At 34.8% G+C, this 17,692-nt stretch overlaps 2 long non-coding RNA genes across 2 annotated transcripts in view; one reads left to right on the top strand and one right to left on the bottom strand.

The window, feature by feature from the left end:
• Positions 1–17,692, top strand: part of LOC124901056 (uncharacterized) — an 891,204-nt gene that overhangs the window by 854,772 nt on the left and 18,740 nt on the right. The window lies entirely within an intron of this gene.
• Positions 1–17,692, bottom strand: part of LINC02240 (long intergenic non-protein coding RNA 2240) — a 108,967-nt gene that overhangs the window by 86,701 nt on the left and 4,574 nt on the right. Inside the window, exon 2 of the long non-coding RNA NR_109887.1 lies at positions 16,571–16,751. This is a non-coding gene — a long non-coding RNA (long intergenic non-protein coding RNA 2240). The remainder of the gene's footprint in view (positions 1–16,570; positions 16,752–17,692) is intronic.

Genomic DNA, 17,692 nt, shown 5'->3' with positions numbered 1-17,692 from the left:
TTACTCTACAATGGGTCCAGGACATGTTATGTTTCTCATATATACTTGGTCACTGAAAGCTTTTTGTTGTTCTTTTTAACGTTTAGGCTCGGGGACATGTGAAGCTTTGTTACATAGGTAAACTCATGTCACTTGGGTTCACTGAACAGATTATTTCATCACCCAGGTATTTAGTTTGGTATCCAATAGTTATCATTTCTGCTCCTTTCCTTCCTCTCACCCTATACCCTGAAGTAGACCTCAGTGTCAGTTGTTTCCTTCTTTGTGTTCATGAGTTCTCATTACTTTGCTCCCACTTATATGTGAGAACATATGGTATTTGGATTTCTGTTCCTGCATTATTCTGCTAAGGATAATAGCCTCCAGCTCCATCCATGTTCCCTCAAAATACATTATCTCATTCGTTTTTATGGCTGTATAGTCTTCCATGGTGTATATGTACCACATTTACTTTATCCAATCTGTCATTGATGGGCATTTAGGTTGATTCCATATCTTTGCTATTGTGACTAGTGCTGCAGTGAACATTTGCATGCATGTGACTTTATGATAGAATGATTTATATTCCTCTGGGTATATACCCAGTAATGGGATTGCTGAGATGAATGGTAGTTCTGTTTTTAGCTCTTGGAGGAATCACCATACTGCTTTCCACAATGACTGAACTAATTTACACTCGCCCCGACAGTGTATAAGTGTTCCCTTTTCTCTGCAACCTTACCAACATCTGTTATTTTTTTGACTTTTTAATAGTCATTCTGACTGTTGTGAGATGGTATCTCACTGTGGTTTTGATTTGCATTTCTCTAATGATCAGTGAAGTGGTTCAAGTGATTATCCTGCCTCAGCCTCCCAAGTAGACGGGATTACAGGAATGTGCCACCATGCCTGGCTAATTTTGTATTTTTAGTAGAGATGGGGTTTCACCATGTTGTCCCAACTGACCCCAAACTCCTGACCTCAGGTGATCCATCTGCCTTGGCCTCCCAAAGTGCTGGGATTATAGGTGAGAGCCACTGCACCTGGCCAATAATTATACATATTTATGAGGTACATGTGATATTTTGATACATGCATACAATGTGTAATGATCAAATCAAGATATTTAGAATATCCATCACCTCAAAAGTTTATCATGTTTGGTTGGGAATGTTTCAAATTTTCTTTTCTAGCTATCTATCTTGAAATATACAATAAATTATTGTTAACTATAGTCACCTTATTATGCTATCAAACACTAGAACTTACTTCTTCTATCTAACTGTATATCTGTACCCATTAGCCAGCCTCTCTTCATTCTCTCCCCACAACTTCCCAGTGGTGGTAAATTCTCAGTCTCAAGTAACTATCATTCTACTCTCTACTTTCATGAGATCAACATTCTTAGTTCCCACATATGAGTGAGAACGTGCAATGTTTGTCGTCCTTTGCTTGGCTTATTTACTAAAAATGACCTCTAGTTCCATCCATGTTTCTGCAAATAAACTACTTTTAATTTTAAATGCAGCTACTCTTGGATCTCTTCTGATGTCTGGTCAGGACTGCAACTAACAGGCAAAATAGGGCTGGTCTTCCAGAGCTGTTCTCATGAGGCCTACCATTGTATGGTATGGCAGAGGAGAAAATAAATGTAGCTTTTGAAACCTTCTGACTTTGTGGTACCCAGGCTTTCTTCTCCAGACCTCTGCCACTACGACCAAGTAGCTCTTCAGTCAAGATCTTGGTGCCCAGGACACAAAGCTGTGCCTTCTCTCATCAGTCTTAAGCTGGCTTTCATTTTAATCCTCAGCTTTACTGTCTTCTCTTCTTCTCAAGGCACTGTGACTGTATGATTTAGTGAGTGTCATTGGACAAACATATGTGGAAGAGGCCACAGTGTGTAAATGGTATCAAAAGTACTAGCAGAGAGCATTAAAGCAATTACCTGGGATATGAAATTACAAGTGTTAAGGCAGTTTGAGGTCAGTGAAAATCTCCATCATATTTCAAAGGCTTTGGGGCTTACTATTGCTCTGTGGGAGTACTGTGATAATAAAAACATAATACAAGCCTAAGGACCTTTAAATGCCATTAATTAGATTCACCATAAAAGGATTGTGAAATTAGAATTATTTTGCCCTCAATTATAATTTAATTACATTAAGATGACACAATTTTGTTTTACAGTGAAGGTTCCAGACAGTCAATAGAAAGCAATGCTTTTCCACATACAAAAATTTGTTGTATAAAAATCTGTTAGGAAAGTATGACATTCTGTATGAAGGAATAAATCTGATTATATGTGCTACACACAATCACATGCAGAGACAGAAATGTTTTTGACCTGTGAAGGGATATGTGAAATCAGATTGTTATCCTTTTTCTAAGAAAGCTTTTTATGTAGTTAAATATAAAAAAGTGAATAATATAATTTTAATGCGATTAATTACAACTTACAAACATAAAATTCATTATAAAAGCAAAAGGTAAAAATTATAACTCCTCAGTGATTACCTTCTAAAACTGTTAATAAACATTTCCAATACGGGCTTCTGTTCGGAAAATCTTTTGATTGCTTAAAAATTGTCACAGCTTTAAAGAAATGCTCTATGGCTGATGCTTTGGTAATCTTTACACTTGTCAGCTTTAGTTAGAAATAATAGAGCAAACTAAGGTACTATATAAGTGTGATAGCATAAAGGGAATGCTAGAACAATAAAAATATCCTAAATATCAAAAGAGGTACTCAGTTTTGGAAGGAAGGAAGCAGAGAGAGAGAGAGAAGAAAGAAAGAAAGAAAAGAAAGAAGAGAGGAGGAAAAGAAAAGATGAAGAGGAGGAAGAAAGGAAGGAAGGAGAAAGAAAGAAAGAAGCAAAAGAAAAAAGAGAAAGAAAAAGGAAGGAAGGGAAGGAAGAAGAAAGGCAAGAAAGAAAGGGAAAGAGAGAGAGAGAGAAGGAAGGAAGGACTTATTTATAAAAATTTCACATATGACAAAAAGCTATATCTCCAGTCAGCAGGAAGAAGATGGGCTTTTAAATGAGTGATGGTGGAACACTGCATAGCTGTTTGGAAAGAGATGAAACTGCCTGAGTGCCTCATGTCTTACATCTTAAATTACGAATGGACCAAGATATAAAAAATAAAGGTTAAACCGTAAAAACTACAGCAACATTTGAGTGCATATATTTATAATCTGGAGTGAATATATTTCTCACTAGAATATATAAAATTTAGAGGCAAAAGGAAAGATTAATACATTCTACATCTATTTTAAAAATAGTTTTTGTATGGCAAAGGAAACCAGTGAAGTAAAAAGCAAATACCAAGCAGATAAAAATATTTGCAACATATGTCACAAAGGGCTAATGTCTTTAATACACCATGAGCTCCTAGAGACTGTGAAGAGGAAAGCCAAGAAACCAGTAAAAAATTGTGCAAACATTTTGAACAGGCAATTCATAGGAGACAAAATAAAAATGGCTATTAAACATATGACAATGTTTTCAACCTGACATATAATAAGCAAAAATAAATTCAAACTTTATTGGAATACCATTTCTCACCTATTAGATTAGCAGATATCCAAGAATTTGACAATATACTTGGCTAGTGAGACTACAGAGTGACACACACTCTCGTGAATTTCTGGTCAAAATGCAAAACATTACCACCCCTCTGTAAATCTGGCAAAATCTAGCAAATTTGCATATGGGTTTATTCTTTAATACAAAACTCACTTATATGACCATATCTCAAAAATATACCAGAAAAATTACTAAGGAACTAGGTTGTTAATTGCAGTATTATTTGCAGCAGCAAAATACAGGAAATAACCTCAACATCTTTTAAGAGGATATTGTTTAAGTAAATCATGCTATGTTCTTACAGTGGGATACTATGTAATCATACAAGGAAATATGGATGGTTTCTATGTAATTGCTCTCCAGAATATATCATTAAGTGATAAGAACAAGAGGCAGAAAGTGGGGAGAATACAAGTATACAAATAGTCTGTATAGCTGTATCGTCAGTATGTCCTATGAATATGATAACCAGACATATTGTCCTCCTAATACTATATGTTATGAAGAACAGAGAACCGCCAATGAAATATGATATTCTTGTCCAACATGAAACCTGAATTCAATCAAGCCTTTAGTACTAATATCCAGTGCATATTAAATGCCTAGAATAGAAAGCTACAAAATTATTGACCTGATTTCTTCAAAACCTAATATAAAAATATTAAGAGAAAATCCCATTATAGATTATGGAGATCCAAGAGTCATAAGAACCTTGTTTGAATCTCAATTAGAACAAACCAGTTGAAGACATTTTAAGACAATTAGTGAAATTTTAATATGAAACATTTCTTAATTTGTCTTGAAAGATGTAACATAAACTGCAGTTACATGAGAAAATGTCCCTAAATTTAGAGATGCATGCTAAAGAACAAAGGGTAGAAATGACATGATGAATGAAATTTGCTTTAAAATACTTCAGTCAAAAATATGGACTAATTAAAACAAGTAGAGCAACAACAAACAAACAAAACCATTATTCAGTATTTAGGATCCAAATATAGAGAAACAGAACCTTGCAACATTTCCCTAATCCTTGATCACACAGATTTCATAGGAAAAATTTTTGAATGCCATCTGTTGAGAAACAATTTTTCCACTTACTGGAAGCTTTCAGGGAATGCAGAGCTAGAAAATTCTTTCTTGCAACACTTTGCTTGCTTTGTTGGGATCTCCTAAACATAAATGTTCTATTTGCCTGTATGAGGTTGTGCTCTCAAAGTGACTGCAAACTCAGAGAGCTGGCCTCTGGAGCCACTGAAATAGAGTTCCATTTCCCACTTGCTTATCACTTCTCTAACTGAGATGATTTCATTTGGAACAAATGTTTCATGTGAAAAGAAACTAAGAGGTAAAATTAAGGAAGTGAGGATAAAAGAGGAAATTTGTCAAATAATAAACAGCAGAAGTCTAACTCCACGAGATTTTGGCCTTGCTTACTCTATTCCTTTTACTGTGAAAATGAAATAATGAACTGTATGTGTGGAACATTACCAAAAAAGAGTAGAGACTAGGTCAGTTCTGTTAATTGCTGTAAATTGCCATATTCTTTCAGTAGCTAAGCAAAGGGGTCTCTTAGCAGTTTGAGTTAAGTTAAGAGAAAAGAATGATAACCCAACAAACATTGAACTAGGGACGTGTGCCCTCCTAACGGGGCCACGTTACTTACACAGGAAACTCCACTCTTATTGTTATGTAGATGTCCTCCGCACTGCATTTCCCCAAAACACCCCTCAACATGTATATGCCCTGTGGGGACAGGGTCTCTCTCCTGGAGGATTTTCCATGATGACGCACACAATTTTGAACCAATTCACAGAATTAGTTCAGAAAAGTCAGTATACACATCCAAATGTATTACACATTTATTAATGTGAGAGTTGAAAATATAAAACCTCTGGAAGACCATGTAAAAAAAACCCTCTGTGTTCTTGTTTTAGCAAATATTAATATTTCTTAGGTAGGACTCAAAATTCAGAAATGATAAAATAATTGATAAAACTTCATCAAAATTAAAATCATATGCTCTTCAAAATATAATGTTAAGGCAGATCAACGTGCAGGCCACAAACGAGATGAAAATATTTGTAAAACCTACATCTAGTTAATAACTTTGTTTTTAGTGACCGATTCTCACTTTGTTGCCCAGGCTGTTCTCCCAAGGTGCTGGGATTACAGGCGTGAGCCACCGCGCCCGGCCACGTGTGATACTTTTAGGGTAGCCCTAGAAAACTAATTATAACCCAACAACAAAATGGCCACATCCGAAGAATTATACAAACGTCAGATAAGCACATAGAAAGAGGCTCAAAATTAGTAGTCATTATAGAAATGTAAATTAAAACCATAGTGAGAAACTACCATATGTTCACCAGAATAATGAAAATTTAAGTATGTTATTAAAGATGTGGTGCTAATAGAATTCCCATATATTGCTGGTTAGAATGCCAGATTTTACAGCCTCTTGGAAAAACAATGTGATAGTGTTCTATAAGTTAAATAGATCTATAACTTATATCCCAGAAATACCACTTTTTTTGTATTTACCTAAAAGAATTATTCATATGTATATATGTATATATATCCATTCAAAATCCTCTCAAATGCAGCTTTACTTATAAAAAGCCAAAACTGAAAACAACTGCAACAACTGAAAAACCTGCAAACTTTCCGTAACTGCTGTATGAATGTACGGATGTGTGAGATATCCATACAACAAAACAATGCTCAGCAGTGAAAAGGAATGAACTAGGAATTCGTGCAACAACATGGATGATTACTAAATGCATTCGACTAAGTAGAATACCCAGACACAAAGCCAGCATGCTCTATGATTTGCTTTTTGTGAATATCCATAAAAGGCAAAACGATAGTGGCAGAAAACAGAACAGAGTGGACAGTGGATAGAACTGACAGCAAAGGGACACGAGGGAACTTTTTTAGGGTGACAAAAGTGATCAATATCATGACTATAGTAGGAGATCCATGACCCTAAATATTTGTCAAAGCACATAAAAATGTACAAAGTTGGTGAATTTTATTGTATATAAATTATACCTTAGTAAGAATTATAAAAATAGCATAATCCCATTTTTATATAATCATGTACATATTCCTATCTACCTACCTATCTAATATTTCAGGTTTATGTGCTGGGAGAGATGTCTGAATAAAGTATATGCAGGGTTAATAGTCATTTCTGGATAGCATAGTTTGAGGACTTATTTTTTTAACTGTATATATTTTGCTGCATTATTTGAATTCTTCCTAATATATCTTTTCATAAAAAACAATACTCTTTTGGAACAAATGTAAAAAATTGCTAATGATATTTATATATATTGTGCTAAAATATACCTTTAAAAATTTTGTACTTAACCCTCAAATGCCAGATAATCAGACAAGGGAGCATACGATACATGATATTCAATCTAGGCATTAGTGAGTTAGGAAGCATTTACTTTCTAATCTTTTTGGTAAGATCTGGTCACTGTTATATGAATTATTTTATTTCAGCATATATTGGTAACATTATCTGATGTTATCAAAATAGAAATGCTTTTGAGCATTACTCACAGAATAAATTTATCTCTGATACCATTATTGTACTTGCAACTTTAATCCAAAAGTAGATCATATCTCATCATCTCCTTTAGTATTTCATCAATGTATTGTGTTTTTAAAGAGATTCCATGGTGAAATGCATTTGGGTAGCTCTATTTTAGAAAATAGAGCCCATGTCCTGAAATATACAATATCACTAGTGTAAAACCTTTCAGTGTTACTCAATTTTCCAAATAGTAGCCTATAAAAATTGGGAGTAGCCACACTTGAAATCTACCCTCTTAGATCCTGCGATATAACAGATATTAAAAGTTCTTCCAAAGGTTATCACGTTTATTAAGGTATTCTCTTCCAATCTCTCTCTCTCTCTTTGTATCTCTCTCTCTCTCTCTCTCTCACACACACACACACACACACACACACATTTCCATTATCTTGCTCAAATCCTACTTGCAGCCAAATGACTTATTCAGTATCTTTAGTGGGAAATATTATCCATTGTGCAGGTTTAAGTTTCTTTAATGGCTTTTCAAAATTATGTTTTCTGTTTCCCTTCAATTACTCTATTTGGTCAAACTTTGTTATTAACCATAGCATTTTATTCATTTATTTCTTTCATCTTCCACCAATTCCTCCATTTAAGAGCTTTATAGATTTAGATCTTGTCATAAAAGGTTTTAATAGAGACTATTTTCTAAGATAGCTTGTGATATGGTTTGGCTGTGTCCCAACCCAAATCTCATCTTTAATTCCCACGTGTTGTGGGAGGAGCCCAGTGGGAGGTAACTGAATCATGGATACAGATCTTTCCCATGCTGTTCTCATAATAGTGAATATGTCTCATGAGAGCTGATGGTTTTAAAAAGGGAGTTTCCCTTCACAAGCTCTCTTCTCTTGTCTGCTGCCATGTGAGATGTGCCTTTCACCTTCCTCCATGATTGTGAGGCCTCCCCAGCCACATGGAACTGTAAGTCCATTAAACCTCTTTATTTTGTAAATTGCCCAGTCTCGGGCATGCCCTTATTAGCAGCATGAAAACAAACTAATACAGCTTGCTATCATTTTTTAACATGTGAAAAAATTTTTTTAAAAACTTGAATGTGACTACTTTGTTTTTAAATTATTTTACAATGATTTTTTTACTTTGAAAAATGAGAATAATGCTAAGTTATCTATAAGAAGTTATAAGCGTTAACTAAAAATCAGTCCCTTGAAAATGAGATCACAGAATCAACAGTGTGTGTTTTACACCATGGAATACTATGCAGCCATAAAAAAGCAAGAGTTCATGTCCTTTGGAGGGACATGGATGAAGCTGGAAACCATCATTCTCAGTAAACTAACACGGGAACAGAAAACCAAACACCACATGTTCTCACTCATAAGTGGGAGTTGAACAATGAGAACTATGGACACAGGGAGGGGAACATCACACACCAGGGCCTGTCTGGGGGTGGAGGGAAAGGGGAGGGAGAGTATTAGGACAAATTCCTAATGCATGAGGTGCTTAAAACCTAGATGACAGGTTGATAGGTGCAGCAAACCACCATGTCACTTGTATACCTATGTAACAAACCTTCGTGTTCAGCACATGTATCCCAGAACTTAAAGTAAAATAAAAAAAAATGAAAAAACGAATCAATAGTGTGTGTTGAACAGTAGTGTATATAAAATACATGTTCATGCACATATATACATATATGACCCCATTATATATGTGCACTAAACACTAAAGAGACTTAAAATATAATTACATAAATATGGGATATAGGTGTATCTAAGTTATAATGAAACCTGTGCTTTAGTAAGAACATTTCACATATTTGTGCTTTGTATGTAAGTATATCCCCATGAGGTTATATGTTACTGAAATAGAAATACTGATTTGAGTAGCATATTTACACACTAATAAATTGCCTATATTTCCCTTGTCTATCTTTATACAACAGTCCCTCTCTTGTCTGCAGGGCATACATTCCAAGACTCCCAGTGGATTCCTGAAACTGCATATGGTACCAAACCCTATACATATTATATTTTTTTAAATCTGATAACTGTGACTAATGGGTGGGGATCATCTAAATGTAGATACACTGGTCAAGGGAAGATTCACGTTCTGGGCGGGATGGGGCATGGCATGGCGTGAAATTTTAGCTCCACCCAGAATGGTGCACAATTTAAAACTTATGAATTATTTATTTCTGAAATTTTCCATTTAAGAATTTTGGACTATGGTTGACTGCAGAAGTTGAAACCACAGAAAATGAAACAAGGAGTAAATGGACTGGGGAGGGGGGGCTACTGTACATAGGAATACATTATCCATTTCTTAATCGGGTCCTAAGTGTACCCCTCTGCTTAATGTTTTAATTGGGAAGAATTCTAGGTTCGCTTTCGGGGCTCAGAGATTCTCACGTATTAATTCTCCTTTAGCCTTTCGCCTTATTTCAGTACCTCTGACTGATGAAGCGGACAGTCATGTAGCTTGGGGCTTGCTTGCTTTGGGGGAACAACTTCTGAAAGTGGAGGTGACACAATTTTGTGTTCCAGAGTATTTATATTTTGAAGAGAAAGCAGGCCATTAATGCTAAACACACAAACAAAGACGTTTTGTGGCATTGCAGATCCTGTAAAACCTATACAGAGATTTTGTGTGTGTGTCTAAGAGAGACCTTTTAGTCAGCCGTCCAAATACTGTAGTGGTGTCTCGAACCACTACTGACTGGAAAACTTGCCCATGTTAAAACTTTGCAATTGTAAAAAGTAGAATGTGGTAATTCACTGCTTAATTAAAAGTAGTAATCTCTAGCCATACACTCACACATGGCAAAACAATAGATGCCACCTTCTACAACCAGATATCATGTGAAATGTATTCATGAATCCATATATCCATACAAGCTATGGAGATTTTTTCATAAAAGCAACAACGTTAGCATAAAGCAATCCATGTATCAAGCATGAAAGGTTTTCACTGAATATGCAAAAAGACAAATGATAGAACTGGAAAATGAGATACGCAGGTTAAACTAGTGTGTCTTTGGAGCTGGCTGCATATGTAAAGCTTTCAACAGAATAATATTACACTTTACTGACAATGAAATGTCCATTACATAGAAGAATAATCATTATCATTAAGCGAATTTCCTGCTGAGTACATTTTTCACTGTGAGCAGGCTCATCTCTTGGGACATTTGCAAGGTAGCCTCTGTAAAATTGTTTAGATCAAAGAAAGTAAGAGGACTGGTTGTTTGATTTAGTTGTCAAATAAGAAAATAACTTGAAGAGAGATTTTAAAGCAAGCTGAGGTGGATTTTTTACTGGTTCTTTAGGACAAAATTACGTACTTCTTTCTCATATTTTCATTGAAGTAATCTAAAGGATAAATGCATACATGTTGAAATTTTATTTGAAATAATCAAATCCTATTATAGGTGACACATTCCCATCATCCTTATATGCAGAGATATCTACATATCAAAGTAACTGCTCAAAATGTCACATTGGTCAAAGGAAAATTAGAAAAATCTATTGTAAAGTACGCATTTCTTTTAATAATATTTAAACTATGAATAAAAGCCAGTTTTTAAAATTTAGTCATGGAAAGTTTAATTTTTCTAAGTTGTGGGTATTTGATGTTGATTTCACACCTTTTGTTTGTTTCTACCTTTCCTGAGATTTTCATACATACTTCATATAAAGACCTCTCAAAATACCTTTATTTCAGGCTCCAGTTTCAAAATTTGGCTTTGAATTAGCAATGTTAAATAATTACGGGAACAAAAATCATTCAGAATTTGCTTATTCCTCAGCTTCACTTTTCCTTGATAAAAATCTAACTTGAAGAGTAAGGAATGTTTATATCTGGTCGAAGAGAAAATTCATGAATACTATGGATTCATAACATCATATTCCAAACATATATTTTCTGAAGAAAAAGCATTATAATAATAATAAACATAATAAGTTAACATTTTATGAGTAATTATTATGTCCAAGGCTAATTTTAATTTAGTCCTCACAACCATCATGTAAGGTACTATTTTATCTCTGTTTTTCAAAAACGGAAATTGAAGCCCAGAAGAATTAGGTAATTTTCTGATAAACAGAGAAGCCAGGGTTCAAATTCAGGCAGTCTGATTCCGGAGCCCATATTTATACCATTACCCTCTACTGTCTTACTGTGAGTGAGCAGCCAAACCATCGCATACACAGGGAGAGGAAATGTTTGCTGAGTATATACTTGCACTGATTGGGTGTGTTAGCGGGATTCTTTGATCTTGACCTATGTTGGTTTTTCTTATTTGTGTTGTATAAAGGAATTGGAAGGAAAGTAGATGTGAACAAGCCGAACAGGTTTCCTAGAATAGGTGGCTCTTAAAATCCAATTTTCTATATTTAACCAAATTGCTTTGTTTTGTCACATAACTTTTTCTTTAAGGAAAATATTAATAGCAATAGCTAATAATGATTGTTCTTAATCTGTAACAGGTGGTAAGCTCAGTGCTTTATAATCATATCCATGTTTACTATGCAGGGCTCCAAGGCCCACCTATATTTCCAAATGTGCCGTATCTTCTTTCAAGATGAAGTATATTTTCTAAGAACCAAGATTGAATCTAGAAAACCAAGTAGATCTATTGTGTGTATGTGATGGAGGTAGAGGGTTGGAGTGTAAAACAATTGGTAATTAATGCATAACCCAATTAATTTGGTTAAAAGATCATCAGTATGACCAGCTCAGGAAACAGTTCATTTTATTATTTCAATCAGCAATTGAATTAGATCCATTCTGCAATTACCTAATCAATTTCTCAGCAGTAGACTGCATAATAGCTAAAAACTATCAGCCACTTAGCTAGAGCTATATTGATAGGTATTATTTTAATTACACATCACTAGCTCATTTCCCAGGATGTAAACTGTGCTTTTTTGTATCTATCATAAAATATATATGTTCTAGTATCTAAAATATGAATCCATGATTTAATAATTTCCAAGTCTTATTTGCAAAATAAAAGTCAGTGTATTTCCTAATTATTCATTCTAATCAACTGTCGATTTTAGTACACCAAGCGGTCTTAGTGATTATACTTTCAATATGGTCCACTGTTATTCCATATCTTCTCTCAAAAGAATGGCTGTGTTTCAGTTTTCTATCAAGTTTTATTGTACTTTGCATTTCCACTATATTCATTGCCTTAGAATTAGATTTTCATGAATATCACTGAATTTTATATTTAGATCCTCAAACAGTAGAATAATTCACTGCATTAAAAAGAATTCCTAAAATTAAAACACAGTAGACAGAATATAACACTTCATTGTGCCTAAAATTAAAAATCTTTAATTTTAATAGATCATTTGTTGCAATGCTAGTTCTGTATTGAGTCCCACTCTTTATACACACAAGGTTTTTAATAAATAAATATTCGGAGGACATTTAATCTGCTATATCAGAGACATTTCACATCCTCAAGAAGAACCACATCATAAAGATAGCTATTCATATGCCAAAGAGACAGGAAAGGTTCTCAAGGAGTTACCTAATCCATAGTTTTTCAATTTAAACCTGAGTAGAAAAATACTAGTGGTCTAACTTTTCCTTCTCCTGTTCTTTTAAATCACTGAGAACAGTATCATTTGGTAACATACAGAGTAACTACCCCCTTTATCTTAGGAATGCTCTGCACAATTCTCATATATCTCTGTATTTAAATTCAATAATCACATTAATCTCAATAGAGACCTAAAATCCCGTCTTCTACCAAATTCTCACTGTCTAGCAAATATTCCAGAGAAAATTATTGCCTCTCTACAATCTGCCATCAAACTGCTTTTCCAGGCTTCTCTCACATCTACTGTTACTCTAAATGAGCCCTGACCCATATTTTCCCTAGTACACACTATACGCTCACATAGTCCCTAGGCCTGAAGACATTTCCTCTTAGCTCAGTCTGCTAAAATCAAGACGGTTTCTGTTTTACCTCCTTTGTAAAGACTTCCTTTATCACACCATATCCAGAAGTGGCATGCCATTTCTGCTTTTCTCTGGCATTGTGCATCTCCTGCATATTACTGATCATGTACAATGCCATTCGAGTACAATTTGATTGAATATGTAAACTGTAAAACACGTAGAAGGTAAATGACAAATGTTTGTTGAAAGCATAACTGGGGGGCCGGGACCAACCAGCCTAAGGGAGGCCACCATTCCTTGAAGGTACATTCTTGCCATCGGGAATGATAATTCCTTTTGTAACACAGAGTGTAATTCTGAGTAGAATAAGAATGGCTCCCATATTGCCCAGTAAAGACCAGTGTGGTTACATGGTCAGAGCCTACCTCAGCATTGACTTTTACTAAGAGTACCTCAGTTTAGTTTTCAGGATGGTGTGTCTTAAATTGTGGTCTATGGACATCTTTCATCAGAATCCACCTGAATGCTTGCTGGAAATGAGGCTTTTTGACTTTGCGAAAGTAGACCCCGGGACTTTAAGATTCTAACAAGTACCCAACATGTACCCAGTTGATTCTTATCCTAATTTAAAGTTTGAGAATCACGATTCCAGTCCAACATTTAGCTTGGTAGATGTTAATAAGGAGTAATTTTTTAAAGGCTCTCTGGTGAGATATATTTAAGAAACTCTATGTTAGAAGTAGTTAAAAGGGTTTACAGCAGAGCTTTTTAGAGCTTTTAGTAGCTATGTGTTGTGAATATTCACAAGGGGAGCATAGTTTATTGTGATTTTCTATGGTAGGAAGCATCCTCTCCAACCGGTTTCTGGGAAAATAAGCCTCAAGAATTTGGCTCCAGCAGATGCTTTTCAATCCAGAGTCAGCTGTATGTGGTTTGTTGGACGAATGAAATTGATCCATCAAAGGGGATGAAATGGACCCCTAATGATCTCTTAATCTTAGTATGGAGATAGGATGAGAGAGAAAGGCTTTGGAGAATGAGAGACACTCTCTTCTTTTAGGTAGTCTCTTTCTGCTCATTTCTTAATAATGCTATTTGCTTTTCTTTTTTATCTTACTTTTGAGGCATTCTATCTAACTTTTAATTTCAGCAATACTGAGTGTAAGTGGTGTGTATTTGTGTGTGTGTGTATATATATAAGAGGGGAGAGAGAGGGATTAAAAAACTATATACTCCTCATAATCCTAATAATATTGGAGTATAGCTTTTTACATAGAAAACTGGACTTATATTCCGGCTTTGTTACTATGCATATGAGTCAAAATTGCATAGCTGTTTGCCTCTAAAATAAAAAACTAGCAAGACCTCATTACATACACAGAAAAGTGGAATAAATGTAGTTCCTAAAAACGTCAGAATAAAAATTTATAATCTGATGATTTACAGTTCATTCCATGGTTTTAGTGTGTAAAGGATAAAGATACCTAGTGGAAACAGATGAATTGGGTCAAGTAAGATGGGAACCCATTAAAATTCTAGCCTGAACCTTGGAGGTCTGGAGAAGCTTGGCCACCCAAGTGATATATTATATAGGCCATTATTTGCCTCTGAGTTTCCTAATTTTTTCATCTGACCGAGAAAATGGAAGCCTCAAAAATCCCCCCTAAAACCCCTCATTTTGGAATCCATGTTGGAACAGTTAAGAAGGGATGGAAAATCACTGAGTAGTATTTGCCTATTTGAGGTTTAAAACAAATCCTTAATGCAAAGAATTTTGAATAAATCAGATTCTTAAATTTATCCCAAAACTTACTTTGTCACATGATGCCTAACCTCTACAGGTATGTTTCAATTCAAGATCATCACTTCATCATTAAAACAAAGGCATCAAAATGAGCCTGCATTCACTAAGTATTCAAAGAGGGAAATCTGCATCCTTTTCACTTGTTTGGAACAACTAATTTCAAAAGATGCAGTATATTTATGTGCACAAAGCAGTATCTCCCTAATTATAATTTATTTTTGCCTATTCAAGAAAAACACAACAGATGTATTTCTACCAACTCTTGGTTGGTCACATGGCAAAAGAACAATTGCATGAATTGCTTCAAATAGATGTTCAAGCATTCTGACATAAATACTTTTTCAGCATATCCTTCTTGCCATATTATAGCATTTAACCCTAATGCTATATTTGTTGGGAATGCAGATGATGAACAAAACGGTTTACATTCTACCCAGATCTCTTTCCTCTGTGATCAGTAAGTATCAGAAACAGAATCATCTACAGATAGCAGAGCAATTGCATTTTAAATGTCACATAGCTGCCTTTATTATTCCAGCTGGCGTGTGGAAAGAAAGGTCCCTCTGTTAATGAGACTAACACTGCCAGTCCCATTATAATGGATTTAAGCAAATAAATAACATGTTTGCCATTTCTGCTCTTGTTTTTCAAGCACTATTTTTGTCACTGATCTCATTGCTACAGACATTTCAGTGGAATAACTATAATTGTTGCAGGGCTTAGGAAATGAAAATTACACATGGAGTCCCTATTTATTTTAGATAATTTAGCATATTAATCCAAATTGTCCTCAAAGCCTGTCCTCCCCAGGGGTCTTGCTCACACTTGCCATTAATGCTAACATGACAGAAAGATACAATGGGTTAGGTTCAGTGGTTCACTAATGTGTGGCAATACCTATTGCACACTTGACAAGAGAGAAATAATAGCCATATTACTTCAAAAGGCACAAAGTCTCCTGCAAGCCAGAAAAGGGATAGTACAAGATCCATCTAAATTATTGCCAAAATTGATTCAAAATTAGGACCACTGATCTCTGGTGTTATGTAATTCAGGGAAATTTAAAGTCCACAAGGAAAAAGTTCCCCTCTGTATTGAGAGACCATAAATATCATTTTATGGAAAAGTCATGCTTTTCTAAATTCTTCAATAAGTCAGGATGTTTAGACACTGACTCTGTGGCTAAATGGGCAAGCCACACTATATGATCCATTCAATCTTACTCCTTTCCAATTTAGCCACTCTCATCTAGGCACTGCATGGTCACATTATAGTTCTTTGACATATTGAGCTTTCTTTTCACTATCTACAGGTTTTCTGTGGGTGACCTAATGAGTAGCACATGTTTTAAATATCATCTTGTACTGATGACTCCCAAATCTAGAGTTCTAGCCGTACCTGTTCCTATAACTCCAAATCCAAATATCCAACTGCTTAGTTGATTTTGCTACATGAATGCTTAAAATACCTCTCGAATGAGTGTCAAATAAGTCAAAACACAGCTCTTTATTTACACATTACCAAAACTTCTCTTTACTCACCATTCCTAAATTGGTAAATAACTTATATCCACCCACTTGTTCAAAGCAAGTCTCAGAAGAATCCTAGGCTTCTCTATTTTCTTTCTTCATGACTTCCCAACACCCACACAAACATATCAGCAACACACAGACCTGTTGGTTCTTTCTCCATCCTATCCGTCAGTCTGTTCGCTCTTCTTACCTCAACTACTAACAATGTGGTACCAGCTACAGTCTTCTTTTACCTGGACTCCTTCAAACAGCTCTTGTCCAGTTCCTCCCTTCCTCTCTTCTCTCCCCTTCCTTCTCTCTCCTCTCTTCTCCCCTTCCTTTCAAGAACAGAGGCTCCTGTAGATCATTTTATAATCAATGAAGCCAGTCTCCTAAACGGTTTTGAACAGAAAAAATAAGAGTGGAAAAGGCATATTAACATTTTTATGTTACAGATAGCTATTAAAGCTCAGAGAATAAGAAGTGTTTTGTACACACAGTGATTTAAATGTAGTTAGAGAATGCATCAATATGTTTCTTGAGGTGCAGTTCAGTGAACCTGGAAACTCTTATATATAACATAATAACAAGCATAAACTTTGTTAATTCTAAGTATTTTTAAGTCCGTTATAATATAATGATCAGATAACTAAGTATAATATTATATGGCTAAGTCATATGTCATTTTATTTTGGTTTAGCAAGGATATAAGCACTCCATAATTCTAAATATTTAAGGGCTTTCAGAGTTATTCATCTGTCTTAAGACAGAGAAATACATACTTTCAGTTATCTTTATTGCTCAATAATTTAAAGAACTAATGTAACTTAGAATTACTTAATTTTAAGAAGGAAACTCATATCATTTCATCTACTTGGGACCAGGCAAATGTCAAATTGGTTTACAATCCATAAGTAAATAGCCTTGAGGAGATCATTTTGTACTCCAAATACTAAGTTTTTTCTAAATGTATTATCTATTTTACTTTGTTGTGGTTATTATGTTGTTTTGAGGTATTTGTTCTGGAGCTTTTTTTGTTTTTTTTTTTTGGTAGGAAGAGGCAGGAGATACAGAAATAGTGACATTTGTGCACATTCCAAAGCTGAGAAGTAAAATCAATATTACTCAAGAAGCAACTCTGAACATGTTTATCTCAGTGTATTTCCTTCTAAGCTTCAGTAATGAGCCTCTAAAATTGTTATAGTATACACAGATAATAATCAGTGAGTTTTTTCACATAGCTTCTGGAAAAACTGCTTTGTGTTCCAGTTTTAATTAGTGTATTATTATCCATTGCTAATTTGAGGGGTTTAGTCTAGAATTAGTGCACAGC

The sequence above is a fragment of the Homo sapiens genome, chromosome 5, assembly GCF_000001405.40.
Source record: "Homo sapiens chromosome 5, GRCh38.p14 Primary Assembly".
Classification (NCBI taxonomy): domain Eukaryota; kingdom Metazoa; phylum Chordata; class Mammalia; order Primates; family Hominidae; genus Homo; species Homo sapiens.
Note: the sequence above shows the minus strand (reverse complement) of the source record. Positions and strands in the feature narration are given on the sequence as shown.